Source organism: Homo sapiens, chromosome 1 (genome assembly GCF_000001405.40).
Source record: "Homo sapiens chromosome 1, GRCh38.p14 Primary Assembly".
Lineage (NCBI taxonomy): Eukaryota > Metazoa > Chordata > Mammalia > Primates > Hominidae > Homo > Homo sapiens.
In genome coordinates this window covers 206,565,552-206,586,521 of record NC_000001.11, presented here as the reverse complement: position 1 = coordinate 206,586,521, position 20,970 = coordinate 206,565,552, and the positions used below count along the sequence as shown (strand labels likewise).

Here is a 20,970-nt window from a genome sequence, read left to right as displayed (position 1 = left end):
AACCACCCAGCCTCCCAACATGCAGACCCTCAGAAAGCAGGTGGAGGAGTGGAACGTGGACTCAGGAGACCGGGGTTGGGCCTGACTCCACCTCTCCCAGCAGTGTGACCTCGAGCACAGCTTTCCACCCTTCTCAGCCTGTTATCTGCTGGGAAATTGGGGTATCTACCTCCCATGACTGGCAGAGCAGATAATGAGAGCCTGACTGGCCCAGGCCTACCCCTAAAGGACTTGGCCTCTGATGGCAGAAGGCAATTTGGACTTCCATCAGGCTGACCCAAGAGCACAAGCCCTGTGCGGCCAACAATTGAGACTCCTAAGCTCTTTGAGCACAATAGAGTACTAAGGTTTATCTGGTTTGGTCCTCGCTATGGATAAGTGAGAAACCTCAAGTCCACACAGGGAAGGTGGCGTAATCACAATCACAGAGCTCATTGCAGCAGAACTGGAACTAGAGCCCAGGTCTCCACACTTCAAAGTGCCTGAGCTTTCCACAGGGCCAGCAGCATTCAGCTACTGTCCATGGAGTACTTTTTCCAAACATATTCTGCACAGATGCCAATAAAGAAAGCAGATGGGAGCAGAGCGGCCCTTGCTGAAATGGGGAGAAGGGACAGAGTCCCAGCTGCCTTGATCCCTAAATCTCCGCAGTGACTCCCAAAACTCCTTAAAACTCTAGGCCTCCACTGAACACAGTGTGACAAACACTGAGACCTTCCCCTGTTGGTCATTCTCAGGCCATGGGTGGCACCGGCCTGGTTTTACTCCAGTTTATGCCACAAGACTACACACTGGTTAGCTCCCCTTGGGGGATGGAGGTCAAGAAAAGGGAGGACAAATGGCTCAAAAACGTCTATACCCAGTGGAGCCCAGAGATGGAGCTTGGTAGCCCTCGGGCCATTTTGAAGCAAAAACAGCCTGTGCCTGAGCACAGGGAGTTTCTTGGTCCCCCTCCTCCCTGAGTTTTCAGAAATAAAGCACATGAAATCCTTTCTTTCCACAGGCCTTGCCACACACAGGCCCTAATGTGCTACCCCAGGGTGTTCAGAGTCCTGGCTGAAACACTGACCCCCAGGCCCATCACCCACCCCTGCTCACTCTCTCAACAGTCACCTTCCTGCCCGTGCTGCGTGGCTCCCACCTATGTGAGGTAGTTAGGACAACACCCACCTGCACCCACCCAGGGTGCCCTAAGGCCTGGGTTTGCACAATGGGTCCAGACCTACCTCTACCTCTCCAGTTTCATTCTCCTTTAGCACAAAGCTGAGGACCTCCGTGTCAGGCCCAGCAAGCAGGCGCAGGTAGAGGGGGCGGTCAGCAATGGAGAGTTTCTGGAAGAGCACTGCAAACCAAGAGAGGGTGCTGGGAGCTCTTCCCAGAAAAGAAGGGCGGGGCCCAGGCTTGCGGGAAAGGATTGGAAATGCAGAGGTGGGGTACGTACAACTGGAAGTAGACACGGGCCTTTTAATGAAATGAACATGACAGTAATGAACAGGGCAATAACCTTTTATCTTGGGTGTCTGCTCAGAGTTTAAAGCATGATTCCATTCACATCATCTCCTGAAAGATTAGGAATGGTGGGGCAGATTCCTCCCATTGCACAGATCAGGAAATGGGAGCCTAGGGTGTGGTTTTCCTGAAGTCACATGCAGAGTCAGGGACTCTGCTCTTGCCTCCCTGCCCGGATTCCACAGATCTGAACACCACATGGGCAGCTGGACCCCTGGTGCTCAGGAGAAGCCCACAGCTCCCACCCAAGGCCGGCAGGAGTTTTAGTGGGTGGGCTTGGACACAGGTAGGAAGGGAACGGTCTGGTTGGGTTCACTCTTTCTCCTACCTTGTCCGTCCTTGTGTATCCGCTTAAAAAGTGCAAACTTCTGGGGATTGTCCACAACCATGAACTTCTTGAGCAGCCCCTGGATGACCTCACTGACGGTGGTGGTGCTGCTGATGTGCAGCTGCTTGATGGCATCTAGGGGCAGGTAGAAGGATGTCCGCTTGTCCGTGGTAGCCGCCAGGTTCACCTCCTTGATGGCATCATAGATGGACTGGGGCCGGATCCCAGCAGGCACCGTCACAGGCCGCCGGAGTTTCAGATGCACTTTGATGAAACCCGTGTAGGTGCCGTCTTCACTCTGCCAGCGGGGGCATGTCACAGGGGGTCAGGGCCGTCCGCCTTGCATGATCATATCTGCCACTCGGGGCCATTGCCCCAGCAGCACCCACCTGTCTCCTTGAGTTCTTTCCTGCCTCTGCTGACGTGGGAGAGCTGGAGGAAGGAGCAGAGATCCCTTTCCCCATAGTGGGCTGGGAGAAGACCCTCAGGATCCAGCTACCAAAGAGGACCTGTGGGGCTGCAGTGGATTTCCCTCCCAGGAGGCTCAGGCCAGCTCCCTAAACCTCCTGTAACCAGTTGCCTTTGGTGAGTGCCCATTGTAAGAGGCAGGGTGTGGGGTAGCCACTCTAGTTTGTACCTCTGAACCAGGCAGGAAGCAGGAAGGCTCTATAATGAGGGCCTTGGAGAACCAGCCCACTAGATTTCCTCCTGTATCTCTTTACTAAGAAACAGCCTTTAAGACTTAAACCTAGGTGCATTTGTGACTGGATTTTCTGGTGCTCCATCTGGCTGAACCCCAAAGAGCCAGCTGATGCCAGCCACCAGCAGGGGGCAGTGTTTTTCTACCTTCTCCCCTCCCTATTGAAGACAGCCTTTCCCAACTGGGTGCTAAGTTGGGTGCCCTCCCCTCTCTGAGAGAGTATGTCCCTCTCTCACAATCGAAGGGGTAGGAAGGGGAGCAACTAAGTCCCATTGTCCTGGCTCCCTGGAGGCCAAGCAATACTGGGCCCTTGGTCATTACGTACCGTTTAATCACTTAGTTTACACTGAAGCTCAGAGGAGGAGTTAAAAGAGCTTCCCAAAATCACAAGCAAAAAATGAGAGTCAGATCTATTTCCCTAAAGCACATGGAGGCCACTGAGGGCTCTGGCTATCAGCCTTCCAGACCCCGGAGGCCTCTGGAGGCCGGAGGAAAGGGAGGGGACCTGCCAGGGAGTAGCCACAGAATTCAGAGTGAGGGCAGAGGCGCCAAACCCGAAGCGGGTGGTGGAGCAGGGGCCAGGTTGAGGGTGGACGGGCGCTTACCAGTTTCATGCCCAGGCAGTTCTTCTCTCGCGTGTTGTAGCTGTCGATCTTCTGCTTGATCTCCTGCAGTGTGGGCGGGCGCTGTGTCTCCTCCACAGGTTTACAGACATTCTGGAAGAGACACAGAAGTGGAGGTGGATGTGTAGTAGTTCTCAGGGTGAGAAAGGGAACAACCACGCCCTCCCCAAAGCCTCTCTAACCAAGAAGTGAGCATCCAGCCCTGCAGAGTGGAACTAACTGCACGGACTCGGAGTGAGACAATGAGAGGTCAAATTGCAGCTGTGCCAGTGTCTAGCCAGCCCTCCTGGAGAAGTAACTCAGATTTCTCTAAGCCTCAGTCTCCTCATCTGTGAAATGGGAACAATACCTACTGCACAGGCTTGTCTTGAGATTAGTGTGAAAGCGTCTGGCACTCAGGCACTGACTATGAATCTGGTGAATGAGCAGAGCCGCATTTGCTTATGGAAAGCTGCTATGGAAAAGATGCTTCTTTGATGCTATGGGAGATGCAAAGAAATACAAGCCATGGTCTGTCTCCTCAAGGAAGTAACAACACAGCTGGAGGGACAGGCGTCTACCCATGGTGCCAGTATATACTACTGATCGGGAAGACAAGAATTCTCTTAGATCCCAAGGACCAAGGACACATAGAGACCAGTCCAGGCCCCACATCACTTGCCACAGTGCTTTTCACATAGCAAGAAGTAAATATCTATTTGTCAAATGAACGAGTGAACTGGCAGGGATGAAGGGCTGTAGCCCCCTCTACCATAAAAGAGGAGATAAACCGCTACTGGGCACAGGGACACCTAGAATTTACTTAGCACTTCTTCTGTGCCAAGTACTTGGCATACATTATCTCATATGATTCTCACAAACCAGAAGTCTGTAAGATAGTTTATTACCCCATCTTACAGGTGAGACTATTGAGACTAAGAGAAGTTTAGCAACCTGCCTCACACCCTACAGTCAGTATGTACAGAATGAAACAGAAATTCCAGGTCTGTCCCATTGTGTTCCTCCTGTGAGACCATGTGTTCATTCTTCTCATATGTTCCCAGATGCCCTCCTCCTCCCACCCCCTGGGAAGGATAAGTGAACAATGAAATTGAGGAGATTGAGGTCAATGGCCCTCACCTTGTAGAGACAATACAGGGGTGAATTCTGGGGTCGAAGCCACTGTCCCTCAGTCAGTTCTCTGGCTCTCTCTCAAGTTCACTGTTACCCACCTCCCGGTTTTATCTTCACACTGTCCCTGAGTGGCTGGGAGTGTGGGAACTGGTTGGTCAGAACCCACCCAGAATTTGCCTGACGTTCAAGTGTAGCAGACTTGGGGTGGATCAGGATTCTCCTTTGGTAAATGAGGAAACTGAGGCCCAGTGAGGGATGACTCTGACACCATCTGACACTGTCCTGTGGGTGTCTGGGTTTGGCTGGGGAATTTCACAGCTGCCGCGACGTCACATCACCACCCCGCGGAACACAACAGGGCCCCCCCTCCGTGACAGAGCTTTGCCCTACCTTCCTCCCTTCAGCAAGCCATGTGGGAGACACGCCACCCTGAACAACCTGCCATCACTTCCTTCCACTTTCCAATCCCACAGAACCGATGCAATGTCAGGCTCTGGCTGCCAAGAGGAGCTGGCGTGGCTCCAGCCTCCCACCTCCAACCCCTCAGCACAGCTGACATCCTCCTTTCTTTCTTTCCTTCCTTCCTTCCTTTTCTTTCTCTCTCTCTCTCTCCCCCCTCTCTCTCTGTCTCTCTCTCTTTCTTTCTTTCTTTTCTTTCGTCTCCCTCTGTCACCCAGGCTGGAATGCAGTGGCACGATCTTGGCTGACTGCAATCTCTGCCTCCCAGGTTCAAGCAATTCTCCTGCCTCAGCCTCCCAAGTAGCTGGGATTACAGGTGCGCACCACCACACCCAGCTAATTTTTGTATTTTTTAGTAGAGACGGGATTTCACCATATTGGCCAGGCTGATGTCGAACTCCTGACCTCAAATGATCCATCCGCCTTGGCCTCCCAAAGTGCTGGCATTACAGGTGTGAGCCACCGCACCCAGCTTCTGACATCCTCTTTCCATCATGGCATCGTTCCCTGGCCTGTCTGCTCCCGCTGTACTCTCCCCAAGGGGTCCTGACCTATTAATAACAGCCTGTGCTGGGTACTTTCACATACCTTCTCTTACATACTATGTATGTCATTCTTATTTCACAGATAACAAAACTGAGGCTGAGTTTAAGAAACATGCCTGTGGTCCCCTGCTAGTAAGAAGCTAAGTAGGAACTGGAATCAAATCCATCTAAGGCCCATGCTCTTCTCAATTCACCATGTAGCCACCATGGGACGGCATCTTTTGCTGAAGGGGCCGGCCTGCCACACCCATAATGATCACTGAAACTCTGTGCTGCGGGGCTGGGATGAGCAGCTGTTAAACCAAAGCCTGTAAGTTACCTGATCTGTGAAATGTTCATCTAAGATGAGTCTAAGCAGCGGGTCAGGCCCCAGAGGCACCATGTCACCTGTGAAGGTGGGAAGGAAGGACTTCTAACTCAAGTGAGATGCAGCCACCAGGATGCAGGGCCCAGCCTTCTCCTGTGTGCCTTCCCAGGTCTCTGGAACTGAACCTTGATTCTGTTGCAGACCACCCAAGGGCAAGCAGCTCTGGCCATCTCCCACTTGCCGGAGGTGAGTAGCAAGTAGTGTGAGCCTCACAGACTCTCTTCATTCACTGTCAGTCCATTAACCCGGGGACTCTCACAGTGAAGCCTCTCATTTTCCTCATCCCTTCCCTTGGGTAGCTCCCAGAGCTCCCCATCCTCAGTCCTTGCCAGCTGAGCACATGTCTATGGGACCAGATGTGCCTGACCCTGGCCCTACCCCTATACCTTCCCGCTGGGAGCTTCTAATTAGAAAGACCCCGTTGTCTGGTTACTATTATACACTCACTCTGTCTCTGACGCATGTAGGCTATTGCTCCTCAGGAGGTAATAGCTTTCTCATACTTGTCTATAAAAAATAAGTAATGGAAAGAAAATTCTAGAAGCTTCGGAAAGATCTCCTCTCATAGTTTCCAATCAAGCTAGAGCCATTTCCCCGTAAGAAAAGGCAGCTGTGCTGTGGCTTTCAAAGGCTTGATTTTGAATACAGTGAGAAGCAAAGCTGCCTTAGCCTAGGGTTTCTTCTTCCTGTTCCCCTTTCTTCAGCAGATAGACCCATCTATCTCTCCCCTTCCCACCACAAACGCGGGGAAGTGACGCAAGTGGCCACAGGCACCTCTGCCTTCCAGGGCTGACTCAAAAGACAGCAGCCCTGACCTCACCATTCTGAGGCCTGGCCCTCTGGCTGGTGATGGGAAGCCCTGTCTGGGAGTGCCAGGAGCCCCGTGTGTAGCCAACACTACGAATGTCACAGCCATGGAATGCCAGCACCCAGGTCTGGGATGGCTGCTGCCCACAAAAATATCTGGCAGACAAGATGTGACCCATGGACCAAATGAATCACCTCCTGAATTAGGCCAGCCAGCCACAGCCACGAGGGCTCACGGATCCTTTTTCCACCCAAGAGATGGCGTATAATCCAGACCAGTGGTTCTTAAACTTGTCTGCACAGTGCAATCATCTGGGGGATCTTTAGAAACTTAGCTGCCTGGGCTTCATCCCTGGAGATTCTGATTTAATTGGTCTGGGGTGCAGTCTGGGCATGGGAATTTTAAAAATCTCCTAGTTGATTTTAATTCGCAGCAACATTCGAAAAGAACTGAAATAGACAGACCCCTCACAACAATTCCAGACCTCAAGGGTCTTCATCCAGCTGCTGAATTAACACTTGGTGCCAAGAAACACACAAACACCCCAAAGGTTTACCTAACAGGCACTATCTGCCATGAGAGCGAGATCGATACTATAGCAATCTTCAGAGGATAAGACAAAGACTCTGATTCCTATTCACCTGCCAGATTCTTAAGGATCTGTCCACGGGTACAAAGCGAGAAACCAAGCAGACAGTTTTGCCTCTTGGGGTGGCCCAAGATAGAGACAGAATAGGGAACTCTGTTATGATTTAACAAATATAGACATTGGCATGTGAGGTGTCTCTCCTGGGGGCTCACACATCTCAGTGCATCTGGCATGGAATTCATCTATTCCGATTAAGCCCCTGGCATTGGTGGCAGATGGCTGAGCTGTTCCCAATGCACTTGGCATGTCCAGGGCACTGGTGAAAAACAGGTTTGTGCTCACATGTCCTATGCGGTGGAAAAGGGCAATGTCTTCTTTTAGCTCTGGAGGTGATTGGGGAACAGCCATGTAAAGAGGCTGGGTGCTAGGGGTTCACAGCGACACCCCGACCCTGAGTGATTCTCTAATGCTTCCATTTAAATATTCTTAACAAAATAAGGAGGACCATACCCCTTTCGTCTGGGGCCTAACTCAGGGCAGATTTGCCCTAAGCTGTTTTTCTTTATTTTATCACTAAAGCAACAGCAACAAAACCCTACTTCTGCACTCTAATCAATGACATATGTAATCTTAATTTTGGTGACTGGAGAGTGACCTAATGCCCTAAGGAGAGGCTCTGAGTGAGTCACGTGGCTTCTGGTATTCCCAGGTGGGCCCAGGGCACCCAGGAATGCTGTGGCAATGAGAGGGGGTCCCCAGGATGAGGGTGGGCTGAGGAGGACGTGTGTCCCACCGGCAGTACTGCAGCTATTATATACATCCGTGCCTACTTTTTCTTGACCAAAATCACAAACCTAATTTTTGCTAAAAAATTCACTCTCACTCTTTTTAAATTTGTCAGTCTTTCCTCCTTCTGGCCCACGATTTGAATCATCTCACACCTGTTTGCCCATCAGAAGTCACTTTATTTGTCAAGCTCTTCCTGATCACTCCAGCCCTGAATGATGACGATGATTCACTACAGCTAATATGTACCGTGCACTATTCTACTCACTTAGCATGTATTAGCTCATTTCATCATCACAGCAAATGTGTCACAAAAAATACTATTATGATGCTCATTTTACAGTCAAGGAAAGTGAGCCACAGGAAGGTTAAAGCTAACCTACATCTAAAGGCAACACTATACTATCTGGCACTTAAGTAAGCATCTACTTACACACACACACACACACACACACACACACTTTTTTTTTTTGAGATGTCTCCCTCTGTCACCCAGTCGAGAGTGCACTGGTGCAATCACAACTCACTGCAGCCTCGACCTCCTAGGCTCAAGCAATCCTCCTGCCTCAGCCTCCCATGTAGCTGGGACTACAAGCATGTGCCACACTCCTGGCTAATTTTTTTTATTTTTTTGTAGAAATGAGGTGCCTTGCTATGTTGCCCAGGCTGGTCTCAAACTCCTGGCCTCAAGCAATACTCTCACTTCAGCCTCACGAAGTGCCAGGATTACAGGTGTGACCCACCGCGCCTGGCTGCTTACATTAACCTCCAAGTAGACTCATCCATCTCAGGTCTTCTTCCCAACTAGACTAAAGCTCTTTAATGACTTACATCATACTTCAATTTGTTCTCTGTGCCTGGTGCCTCTGAGCATGAGGCAAATAGGAAATACTTGCTCAAGAACCTTCAATGATCCCCTATTGCCTACAGTGGACAAAAAAGGTCTTAATTTCTTCTAGGAATTACAGTGCAGTGAGCCTTGGATTTCCATTTAGACTGAGTTCTGTGAGAGAAGCACCCACGCCTGTCTTGTCCTCTATGGTGTCCCAGATCCCAGTGCCAGCTTGACACATAGTAGGGGTTAAGTACCTGCAGGATGAACACAAGTGTGTGTTGGGCTTCTGACTCCCATGACTAACTACATGATCTTGAGAAAGTCAGATAATCTCTAAGCCTCAGTTTCTTCATCTATACATTTGGGATAAAAATCCCTTATTGTCTCACAGGATTGATGTGAAGGTAAAAATCAAATGAGATAATGGGTACAAAAGTGTTCTGAAAATCACCAAACCCATTCAAAGGCATGTATGGTGACTATCATCCCAGGAAAGCAAAGTTCTACCCCTCTGAGCCAATTTCAGTTTTCATTTTCCTTGAGTCCTTCTTCTGATTGGCCACATGCCCATAGAGTTTGTTAATTCCTTTCTCTGCACCAGTGGTTGGCAAACTTTTTCTGTAAAGGGTCAGACAGTAAATGTTAGGTTTTGCAGGCCACGCAGTCTGTTGCCACTATTCAACTCTACTATTGTGGCACAAAAGCAGCTACTGGATGAGTGTGACTGGGTTCCAGTAAAACTATTTATGGGCCTGGCATGGTGGCTCACACCTACAATCCCAGCACTTTGAGAGGCCAAGGCAGGATGATCGCTTGAGCCCAGGAGTTCGAGACCAGTCTGGGCAACATAGTGAGACCCTGTCTCTACAAAAAAAAAAAAATACAAAAATTAGCTGGGCACAGTGAAGTGCACCTGTAGTGCCAGCTACTCAGGAGGCTGAGGTGGGAGAATGACCTGAGCCCCCAGGAGTTCAAGGCTGCAGTGAGCCGTGATTGTGCCACTGCACTCCAGCCTAGGTGACAGAGCAAGACCCTGTCTCAAAAACAAAACAAACTTTATTTATGGAACCTGGCCATGTGCAGTAGTTTGCTCTATGCTGTTGTTTGTGCAGAGTCTCCTGCCTAGAACACTATTAGCCCTAGTTCCACCTTCTCTATGTAGTTTCCCAATGCAATTTCTCCAGTCTATAGCCATCTCTCCATCCTCTGCTCTCTTAATGTACCAGATCCCTGGCATTTTGATTCCCACATGGAGAAAGGTAATCACAGTTTTGTCCTGGTCTCTCTTTCTCCTGAATCATACTTCCTATGTTTCCTGTGTATTTCCTCACACCACCAGTTAATGGGCCTTTGTAACTTCACTCTCATTTCATGGACACTTTTCACAAGAAGACAAAGGCTTGGGCACTTCCTTGGATTTTGCTCACTTTACTCCATTCTGCAATGAGGAGGCAACAAAGCTGGCTGGGGTAGGGATGGAGGTAGACAGCTAGGCTCACCCCCTGGTTCTGTGACTCGCTCCCAAACACCAGCCCCATGGCCTCAAAGCCTCAGATTCCCATTGCAGCAAAAGTACAAATTACCATCGTCACAGATCTCTGCAGCTGCTGGCTAATGTTAAATCCATACTGCAAGAGCCTATAGAGGTGATTTCAGAGCCTGTGTGGCTACAGCTGGCATCTAATTATATGCTGCCTTTTATTGTTTAATGATTGTTTCACATGTTAATCCCATCTCCCCAGTGAGATGCTCTCTGGATGGAGGCAGACATTAGTTTGGTGCCTAAGCTTTTTGGCACCCCGCTTGGCTGAAACCTGGGCCAAACTTTAAGTAGGTGTCAGATAAATACCTGTTGATTGGGTGGCAGGGGAGGGCAAGACAGCCTGGGGAGTCTCAGGCCAGAGCCCACCCCAGACCCCTAGGTCCAGGAGCACCTCACACTCAGCTGCACCCTGAGGGTCTGATACCAAGAACACACACCAGGCTTTGGACTTTGGCGTTAGCCGTGTGGCTCAGCTCTTGGCAGCTAGCTGATGAGAACAAATGCAAGACCATCAAATGACCTGTGACGTCTGGGGAGCTACTTCCCCTCTCAGGGCCTCAGTTTCCTTATCTGTGAAATCATGAAGTGATACTGGAGAAGCTCTAAGGGCCCCTTCGCAGGACTAAGATTTTACACATAAGATAGGGTGGTGTTTTTTTCTCATCATTGCTTCCTCTTCTATTTCAGAGAATTGGGTGTGGAGATGGGGGCCTCTTGGAGGCTAGCTAGCATGGCTGAATGGCAGCAGGAATAACCAATCTAAAGGAGCACAAAGAACATTTCTAACCGCCACGACTTTACTTTTTCACTGCTCACCACTTTTCTCTATTGTCAGCAAGACTCTATCTTAGCCAAGCCCAAGCCGGTCTACGCATTCTTAACACACACAACTCAAGAAAACAAAACAAAAAATACCCCGGAAGCCATTCACCATGAGCCTTTGCCACATTTCCTCTTTCTCAGCTCTTAGCAAATCTGTCAGCAGCAATTCTTTCACCCCTTGGAAGGAAGCCATCTCCAGGCTTAAGTCAGGGAGGAAAGCCTCAGGCCCCTCCTACAGGAGAATGTCCATCTGCAGCTGCCTTCCACACCCCAAACACCCGGTGCTTCTGTTGTGCTTGCCCTAGATGGGAACGTCTGCAGGCAAGGGGCAGACACCCATCTATCTGGGCTGGATTTGAAATACCCTGCTCAATGTCCAAACCGCATTCAAAGGTGAGGTTAGGAGTTCAAGACCAGCCTGGGCAACATAATGAAACCCTGTCTCTTCTAAAAAAAAAAACAAAAACAAAAACAAAAAAATTATCCGTGCGCCTGTAATCCCAACTACTCGGGAGGCTAAGGCGGAAGAATCGCTTGAACCTGGGAGGCAGAGGTTGCATTGAGCCAAGATTGCGCCACTGCACTCCAGCCTGGATGACAGAGCGAGACTCCATCTCAAAAAAAAAAAAAAAAAAAAAAAAGTCATTGGTCCCTTTGTGATGGTCTCAACCAAATGAGAAAGAGGAATCCCTATGGGGCCTTACTGCAGGGCCCCCTCCCAGGTCTTCGAAGGCCTGTGTTCTGAAATGGACTCCACAGACCCACCACAGCAGTGAAGGGGTTGATTTCCACAGGTCCCTCTATGGCACTGTCCATTGTCCCAAAATTAAAAGGGTTGGGAACTCCTTAACTGTGTTCCCTAATAGGTTATTTGCAGCAGAGCAGGGAAGGGGCTTTATCATGGAGCTTCTGCTCCATGTGGAATTTGAGCAGCTCTGGTAGGGTGTATTAACAGAGCAGAGGGAAAAAAGAGGTGGCGGGTGGAGGTTGAGAATGGAAAGAGACTCAAGTCTCCAAAGACAAAAACGTAGAGCAGATGGTCAATGTCAACAGTCCGCCAGTAGTAACTGAATGAACTGCCTATGGGTGAGGATCGTGAAAGGCACCTTGAGAGATGACGCAGATGGGATGTGACCCTGTCCTTGGGAGTCTGCAGGTGACCTGAGAAGGGAAGACAGAGATGGATGCGCTGTGGCACACCAGAGCAAGTACAGTGTGATCTGGGACAAAAAGCCTCAAGCAGCACAGATCAGGCCACTCCCGCAGACTCCTCAGGTTGCCAGCATGCCCCAGAGTCTGGACACGGGGTCCCCTGCTCTTTGAGGTGACCATCTCAGTCTCTGCACAGCTCAGCTAGAGTGGGTTATACCAGGGAACAGTAGCTCCCTTACAGGGACCTAAGTTCAAGCCCCTGCAGAGCCTCATTATAATATTAAAAACCGACAGTAGTCAGGCACTGCCCTGAAGGGTTCAAGGTCCTGATCTCATTTAATCCCCTAAATAACAAGAAAGATGCTGTTACTCTTCACCATTAGACCATGCTGCCTTGCACGCTGGGCCACAGGTGGCCTGTGCTGGCCATGCCCTTGGTCTTCTGTGAACTTGATCAAGTCCACCTCACTAAGACTCCGATTTCTATTTTGTTTTTTTAAGAGATGGGGCTCTCACTATATTGCCCAGGCTGGTCTCAAACTCCTGGCCTCAAGTGATCCTCCCGCTTTGGCCTCCCAAAATGCTGGGATTACAGGCGTGAGCCACTACGCCTGGCTACTTATATTAACTTCCAAGTAGACCATCCATCTCGGGTCTTCTTCCCAACTAGACTGAAGCTCTTTAATGACTTACATCCACTGCTACTACTTCTCTATGCCTGGTGGCTCTGAACATGAGGCAAATAGGAAATACTTGCTCAATACTTGCTTCAGTGGTTCTTGAGGTCTTAATTTCTCCTAGGAATTACAGTGCAGTAGTGAGCCTTGGATTTCCATTTATACTGAGTTCCGTGAGAGAAGCACCCGTGCCTGTCTTGCCCTCTATGGCGTCCCAGATCCCAGTGCCAGCTTGACACATAGCAGAGATTCAGTAAATACCTGCAGGATGAACATGAGTGTGTATTTGGCTTCTGACTCCTATTACTCACTACATGGTCTTGAGAAAGTCAGAAAATCTATATGCCTCAGTTTCTTCATCTATAAATTTGGGATAAAAATCCTTTATTGCCTCACGGGATTGATGTGAAGGTAAAAAATCAAGCAGTCCGCCCACCTCGGCCTCCAAAAGTGCTGGGATTACAGGCATGAGCCACCACACGGAGACTGATTTCTTTGTGAAATGCAGTTTATACATTTGTTGTGAAGATGAAATGAGATCTCAGGCCTCAAAGTGCTTAGCACAAAGTACACAGTAAGCACTCCATAAATGTTAGCTAGTGCGTCATCATCCAAATTATCATCATCACCATCATCATCATGATCATGATCATCATCATCTTCAGTAGTCATTTGTCCAAATTTTTCCATTATCATCTTCAGTAGTCATTTGACCAAAGCTTGGTCAGTGGGGACCCAATATGGGACCTTGATTCCCGATAGGCCCTTCAGCCAAGGCCACATTATGACTTTCATGGGTCCTAAGAACTTTTGTCTTTGGGGCCAAGGGCCCCTTCCTCCATTAAAAAAAACCCACTGAAAATTATATTCTATGATTGCATCGGTATAAAGACAAATACATCAATATCCTATATTAAAACACTTTCTTCAACCTAAATGTTCATTTTTTTTCTCATGATTTTAAAGAAATTAAAACGTTTTTGTGGACCTCTAAAGTCGTGTGTGCCTGTGGCACGATGCCTGCTGTGCCTCATGGAGAAGTGACCATACTTTCCAGCTGTTCAGTCCCAGGTAGGGCGACTGACTGTCCCAGTGTGCTGGGGCTGAGGGTTTTCTCGGGATGCAGGGCTTTCAATGCTAAAACCAGGACAGTCCGGGGGAACCAGTGCATTTGGTTACCCTAGCCCCAGGTCTGGACAGACTCCCTTCCTCTCTGCTGCATCCCAGGGGCACCATGTGCTCTTCTGTAAAGCTGTGCCCATGTACTCAATTCTGGAGGTTTTTCTGATATCCACAGCCACTCCAAGGCCAGGCTGTGGCCTAGGACACAACTGTGTGGGCTATCTCGGAAGAAGCTCCCTCAAGGCAGGGTCTTTGGCTTGTTCACTGAGGCGGCTCCCAGAACAGTGTCAGGCACACAATAGGGGTTCATTAAACATTGGCTTCATGCGTTGAAGAAAACACAAAGAAGCAGTAACACGCATGCACCCTAAACCCCAAAATAAATGTAAGGTAATTAAAAGGTTCCAGAATTTTATAAAGGTCTTGTAGGATTGCTGGTCCATGGACCCATTTACTTCTGAGACTACTGAACACCAGATGAGAATTCTGTCCTCTGCTTCTGAAAATAGATGACCCAAATCCTTTCCATTTCTGTTCTCCCCTGCTCCAGGTCTTCATGAAGCCCCCTTTTTAGCTCAGAGGTCTAAAGTTTGAACCAGACAGAAGAGGGTGACACTCAATCTTCTGAGATGGCCACAGGAATTTTCCCTTGGGACATCTTATGCCCTCAGGAGTTTCTAGAAGGTCTTCCTTTGGGTGTTTTCCTCCTTGGATTTCCAGCTAGGTCCCTGTCCCCTCACCCAGCCTCACCTAGGTCAGCGTCCTTTCAGTCTCCCTGAGCCCTTCATCTGACCATTCTGCCTGAAAAGTCCTCCCTTCTCTACATCTGACAGAATTGGCCTCCTGCCCCTGGAACTGACAGTGTCTTTTGGGATACCCACTCTTATCTAGAATTAGTGGATTTTCCAACAACATCAGCATATGCCCAATTATTCCAGCATTGCTTTGACTCTCTGTACGTTAGTGTTAGTGGTACAAGCCTGTGTCCCTCATTAGACTATGAGCACACCACAGTCAGTGACTGTACCTTTTCCATCTTTGTATTCCCAGACCACCCTGAACCAGAGTACTGCAGAGTTAATTAAGGATGGACGGTGGGTAGGTGAGTGAGTGGATCCCAATACCCCATCCCAGGCCAACTCTCTCCTAAGCTCTCTCAGTTCTTTCAGGCCAATTTAGAGAGTATTCCTTTGCAAATGATATATGCCATAAGGGATTGATATGCAGAATATATAAACTACCACAATACAAAAAAAAAAACCTGATGAAAAAATAGACAATGGACATGAACAGATATTTCTCTAAAGAAGATCTATATATGATCTACAAACACATGAAAAAATGCTCAATATCACTAATCATTAGGGCAATGCAAATCAAAACCACAGTGAGATACCATTTCATGCATATCAGGATGCTTATTAATAAAAACAATAAACAAGAAAATAACAAGCATTGGCATGGATGCAGGGAAACTGCAGCCCTGTGCATTGCTGGTGGGATTGTAAAATAATGCAGTCACTGTGGAAAATGGTATGGTGATCCTCAAAAATTAAACAGAATTACCATGTGATCCAGCAATTACACTTCTGGGTATACACCCAGAAGATGTGAGAGCAAGGACTCAAATATCAGAAAACCAGTATTTGAACACCCAGGTTTGCAGCGGCACGATTCACAGTAGCCAAAAAAGGTGGAAGCAACCCAAGGGTCCATTGATGGATGAAACCCAAGTGTCCACTGATGGATGAATAAACAAAAAATGTGTTGTGTCCATACAATGGAATCTCATTCAGCCTTGAAAGGGAAGGAAATTCTGACACATGCTATCACGTGGATGAACCTTGAAAACATTAAGCTAAGTGAAATAAGCCAGTCACAAAAGGATTAATACTGTGTGATTCTACTTATATGAAGTTCCTAGAATAGTCAAATTAATAGAGACAGAAAGTAGAATGGTGGTTGCCAGGGGTGGGGGGAGGGGAAAATAGTGAGTTACTGTTTAATTGGTAGGGAGTTACTGTTTAATTGGTAAGGAGTTTCAGTTGGGGAAAACAAAAGTTCTGGAAATGGATGGTCGTGATGGTTGTACAACAATGTGAGGTTATACTTAACGTCACTGCACTATGCACTTAAGAATGGTACATTTTGGCTGGGTGCAGTGGCTCACACCTGTAATCCCAGAACTTAGGGAGGCCGAGGCAGGAAGATCTCTTGAGGCCCAGAGTCTGAGACCATCCTGACCAACATGGTGAAACCCTGTTTCTACTAAAAATACAAAAAAATTAGCCAAGCGTGGTGGTCCATGCCTGTAGTGCCAGCTACTCGGGAGGCTGAGGCAGGAGAATCACTTGAACCTGGGAGGCAGAGGTTACAGTGAGCCAATATTGCACCACTACACTCCAGCCTGGGTGACAGATTTGAGACTCTGTCTTGGGGAAAAAAAAAAAAAAAAAAAAAAAAAAGGTAAATTTTATGTTATGTGTATTTTACCACAATAAAAAATAAAAAGGGCAGGGGAAACCTGGAGGCCATGTCACTGGCTGGTTTTATCTGTTTCCCATAGAGTTGGGAGCTTCCCTTACTTTCTGTATTCCAAGCGAGGAGTCAATGCCACATCTAAGCAACTGGGCCTCCATCACGCCAAGCCCTCCAAGACCAGGCTCTTTTCCTAGGACTAGGCCACTCTCCTGGGATGCAAAATGAACACAAAAAATGACCTGGACAGCCCAGCCTAGCTCAAAGGAGCTGCTGCAGTCGTAGCGGGCATGCCTGCTCAAAACCTCCCAGGGGACTGCCCAGAAAGGTCAGGGGCACAGAAGCCTGTGCTCAGAGATCAGGAAGGGGCCTCAAGATGAACTGGTCCACCTACCCACATTCTAGAGCAAACTAAGTCATGAGGAATGAAAAAGATAAAATATATTACTTTGACATAATTTGAGATGGCTGTCACAGGGCCAGCAGACTGAGGTGGCCCTGCAAAGCTGTCCTTTGTGGGGGAAATTTGCATCTGTAGAGAATCTCCTTTAATGCAGCCAAGGCTTCTTCCCTTGTCCAGATCTAGGAGAGATTAATGGAGTCTGACATCTTTAAAGATCTGAAAGAAACATTTGCCATGTCTTCTCTCTGAGGGTTGCTACCTGTGAGGTTTCATCTACATAACAAGACCACCTTGGCTAGCCAAGCCTCCTCTTCTTCCCCTCCCAAAACCTGTGTTGCCACTAAAACCTGATTTACCAACCATAACCTATTTGGGGCCATGCTCTGAGCCCACAGTCTTTCTGTAACCTTAGGATGTGTATGGGCTTCTGTACCCCACTGGGGCTTGGGTCTTCATTCTGAAGGCTCCCGCGAATACACGTTAAATAAATGTGTGTGCCTTTTTGCCTGCTCATCAATTTGCCTCATGGCAGTGATTTTCAGCAAACCTTCAGAGGGCCAAGCGGAAGCTCTGCCTTGGCCCCTACAGGAGGTTCAGGTAGTGGGGACTTCCCAGCCTTCTCCAGATGTTCTCCCACTACCCTGTCATGGCAAGGTCAGGGTTAGGTCAACATCTGGCTTTCCAGCCTCATATGCGTCTAGAGAGATGGATGTGGTCATAGAGTCACGGCACACTCTTGGTGCTCCAGAGCTAGGAGCTACGTATTGGCTCACCGTTGGAGCTATCCATCCCCACCTCCAAATCACATCCTTGCCCTCACATAGTGAACTTCCTGCACAAGAATGGTTTAAACAAAGGGTTCCTCAGCTTTATGTAGAGTTCCAGATGCTCTGAGAGCCAAAGAGTGAAACTCAGCAGAATCTCCAGGCCTTGAGAGGAGTGGCTTTAGGAGTCCAGTTTATAGGTTCTGCCTGCAGGCTGTACAGGGCCCGGGTGACTGCGGGAGCTCTCTCCACCTCCATATGCTGGCTCCAGCTCCAGCTGGAGCTCCCTGGAGGACAGGGCATTCAGCCTCATAAATGATTCAGATCATTCAGAGGTGGTGTGTGGGAGCCGAGTGGTCTCCGGAGGTGAGTCAGTACCCAGCACCCCGCATACCCACACCGCCCATGCTTGCTAGAAGGGGAGGGGCAGCTTGAGACTTGCGCCAGCAGCCAGGACGCCAGCCTGCGCTGACCACTGGGGAAGTGCAGCCCTTCCTGGCTTCCCTCCACCTGCAGCTTTGAGGGCTGGGGCGCCTCTTCACCAGCCCACACGAGTCCTCTCCTCACATGCTGCGTGCCCTGTTAACCCCACCCTGGGCTGGCAGTCTTGGCACCCAGGTGCTCAGGGATTAATATGTGATACTGAAACATATCCACTTAGCTATTAACTAGCTCTGAGTCTTTTAATGCTTGTGTCCCCTCACTGTGCCATAAAGGCCCAGGGGCAGGGACATTTGATCTCCTCTGTCCCCTAAATGGCCTGGCAAAGGGTCCTATCTTCAGTGACTCCAAGATGGTACTGCTGTCATGAGGCTGCATTTGTGGGCATCCTTTGTGAGGTCAAGAGCTTCAACTACTTGGAGAGTTCTGGAAAGAGCTACAGTTTAGTGGTTAGGAGCTCTGGCATTAGATTACTTGGGTCCAACTTCAGGATCTGCCACTTACTATTATGTGACCCTGGGCACATTATTTGACCCCTTCCCGTGCTTCAGTTTCCTCTTAAGTAGCAACAATAATGTACCTACCTCGTATGGTAGTTTTGAGGATTGAGTGTTTACCAGTAAAGCACCTAAGACAGTCCCTGACACATATCAACGCCCAATCACCAGCCATTACTATCGCACATTCCAGCCATTTCCCAGCAGCCCCTTGTGCCTGCCCTTGTCTGTGAACACAGCCTTATACCTCCACACACCCCAGTCATGAGCCCTACCTCTGGCAACTGTGTTTCTCAAAATGGCCTTTACCATCCCCAGCCCCAGAGTTCGCCAAGTCTTCCCGTCTTACAGAGGGAGAAAGTGAGGCCTAGAGTGGTGGTTCCCCGAGGTCACACACAGTGAAGGCTGGGTGTGGGTTCCCAGGCCCAGGGACAGGCTCCCTTCAGGTACAGGGCCCCAGTACAGCCTGCTCCTCCCCGCTCCATCCATTGACTGTGGGTGCCCAGACCAATGGCACTGCCAAACCAGGATCTTTCACCCACTCAATATTAAATTGGGAGAGTAAAATAAACAAAAGATTTATGGGTTTCTTCCTCCCCAATCTGCCATTCCCCAAAGCTGAAAGGCAGACAGAGGGAATCTGTCAGAGCAGGCTCCCCCGCTCCCTCCCATGGACCCCTCTGCCCAACCCCCTCGGAGGCCCCACTAGAGGAAGACAGAAGACCCACGCCAACTCTCCTGCCAGCAGGTGCCAGGGCTTGGTTGCTTAGTGACCCAGCCCTGCCTACCCCCTTCCTCCAGCGCAAACAGCTGAACAATCACAGCTGGGGTGGTGGGGGCTGCTGTAGGTTTGAAAAGTTGTCCTTGCATTTTCTGCTCACTCAGTGGGATTTTTCATTTCCTGATAACTGGAAAAATCCATTTATTCCACATCCAGAATCTTAGCAAGCTTCCCTTTAAAATAGTCCTGAGATCAACTTTCACAAACCTTGCCCTAAAGTACTTGCTCATGTCCCCTGGGAAAGAAGCTCCAAACCCACTCCTCCTCTGTCAAACCCACATTAAGCACTTACCACGTGCCAGGGGACACAGTGATGAACAAGCTATGGTCCCTGGTCCAGAAAATTATAGCCCATTGAAAGGAGAGATAGGAGAGAAAGAGCGGCGAGGTGTTTGGGGAGCACAGAGAAGGGGACATCTGAGTTACAACTGGAAATGCCCTCTAACACTCTGGAATCACCAGCTCCCACATTCTCCTCCTGAACCCACGCCTTCCCAGCCAATTGTGAGCATCGACATTATAGGTGCCAAGTGCCTCTTCACTGTGCTCCAGCCAACGGAGGGGATAGGTGGAGCTTCAGTTCTGGGGTGAGAAGACCTGCCTCTTGCTCCCCACTGCAAAGCGAGGGCCCTGCAGACCCAGTTCCTGCATGTCATCCACAGCAAAGTGGGGGGAACAGTTCACCACCACTCACCACATGGGGGAGAGCCTGGAGATGAGGAGGATAATGAGGGGTTCACGAATTGGAGGCTGATGAGATGATCATGATAACAAAGTACAGTAACCCAGATTTCCCAAGACTAGAACAGGAAAAAACGGCCTGAATTTCAGCATCAGGAAATTGACTGAATGAGAAAAACAGCTTCCTACGGCAGGACATCAGAGCTTGAGAGGGGTGACTGGAGCTTATTTGGAGCCTTTCAAAGCTGGACTCTTCCCTCAGCTGTGTGTGTGGTGGGATGAGCATGTGCTTTAGAGCTGGACAAGCATGGGGGCTGGCAACCTTGCCCTTGGCTCACCCCCTTTCACATGTTACCTCATAGAATGTGTCAACTTTTTGGCTTGATGGTAGCAGAAATTCCGCCAGCGACATCTGTCAGGCATGAACACTCTGCTGCCTCCCTCCCTGCTTTTCTTGCTTAGGATGGTAAATTAACTTAGTCTAAGATGGTAAACTAACTTAGGATGGTGGTAATGAACAGACCTTCCTTCCCCTGCCTGTCATGGGTTATGTGCAGTCCTGCATGGGGACAGAGGAATGGCTGTGATAACCCCTAACCATCTCCTCCAGCTCCAGGAGGCTCTGCTTTTCAGAGGTGAGGTAAATCCCCCTCCATCCTCCTCAGTGGTGGTGCAGCTCTGTCACTGTGTCTGCTGGCAGCCTGTTCCCAGCCCCTCGTGGGCAATTCCTGTTCAAACCCTTTGATTCTAGGAGTCAGGCCCTCCATCCTCCCTGTCTCAGGAGTTGCTGCCATGTCATGATAAAGGCCATGTGGCTGCAAGGCAGTTGCTGAGAGCATCTTCCACTAGGATATGGAAGGGCCTCCATCCAAACACTTCATGGATGGGGAAGGGGAGCAGCTAGGGTCTGTTACACAATGTGGGCTGGGGGCCCTAAGGCCTTCAAG

General features: G+C 49.2%; 2 protein-coding genes across 5 annotated transcripts in view, besides 1 other annotated feature; one reads left to right on the top strand and one right to left on the bottom strand.

The window, feature by feature from the left end:
* The window catches only part of EIF2D (eukaryotic translation initiation factor 2D), a 43,320-nt gene extending 25,944 nt beyond the window's left edge, over positions 1–17,376 (top strand). The window contains exons 15-16 of one of the 2 annotated variants that reach the window (XR_001737023.3): positions 5,360–5,830; positions 13,823–13,851. Coding sequence is in view for 1 of the 2 variants with exons in the window: in XM_011509257.3 (XP_011507559.1) it covers positions 5,360–5,421 (62 nt within the window). In the remaining variant the exon portion in view is untranslated. Of the gene's footprint in view, positions 1–5,359 lie in introns of both variants that reach the window. The other variant, XM_011509257.3, reaches the window with a different exon arrangement.
* The window catches only part of RASSF5 (Ras association domain family member 5), an 81,918-nt gene that overhangs the window by 2,927 nt on the left and 58,021 nt on the right, over positions 1–20,970 (bottom strand). For 2 of the 3 annotated variants that reach the window (NM_182663.4, NM_182665.4), the window contains 3 exons: positions 3,143–3,253; positions 1,838–2,135; positions 1,227–1,342 (listed from right to left, as the gene is read on the bottom strand). In NM_182663.4, the coding sequence (NP_872604.1) occupies positions 1,227–1,342; positions 1,838–2,135; positions 3,143–3,253 (525 nt within the window). The remainder of the gene's footprint in view (positions 1–1,226; positions 1,343–1,837; positions 2,136–3,142; positions 3,254–20,970) is intronic. The other variant, NM_182664.4, reaches the window with a different exon arrangement.
* Positions 10,615–10,664: an enhancer, noted in NCBI's record as "active region_2407". NCBI's record gives its function as "activates an Ori minimal core promoter by ATAC-STARR-seq in GM12878 lymphoblastoid cells {active_cell/tissue: GM12878}" and the evidence as "EXISTENCE:reporter gene assay evidence [ECO:0000049][PMID:35858748]".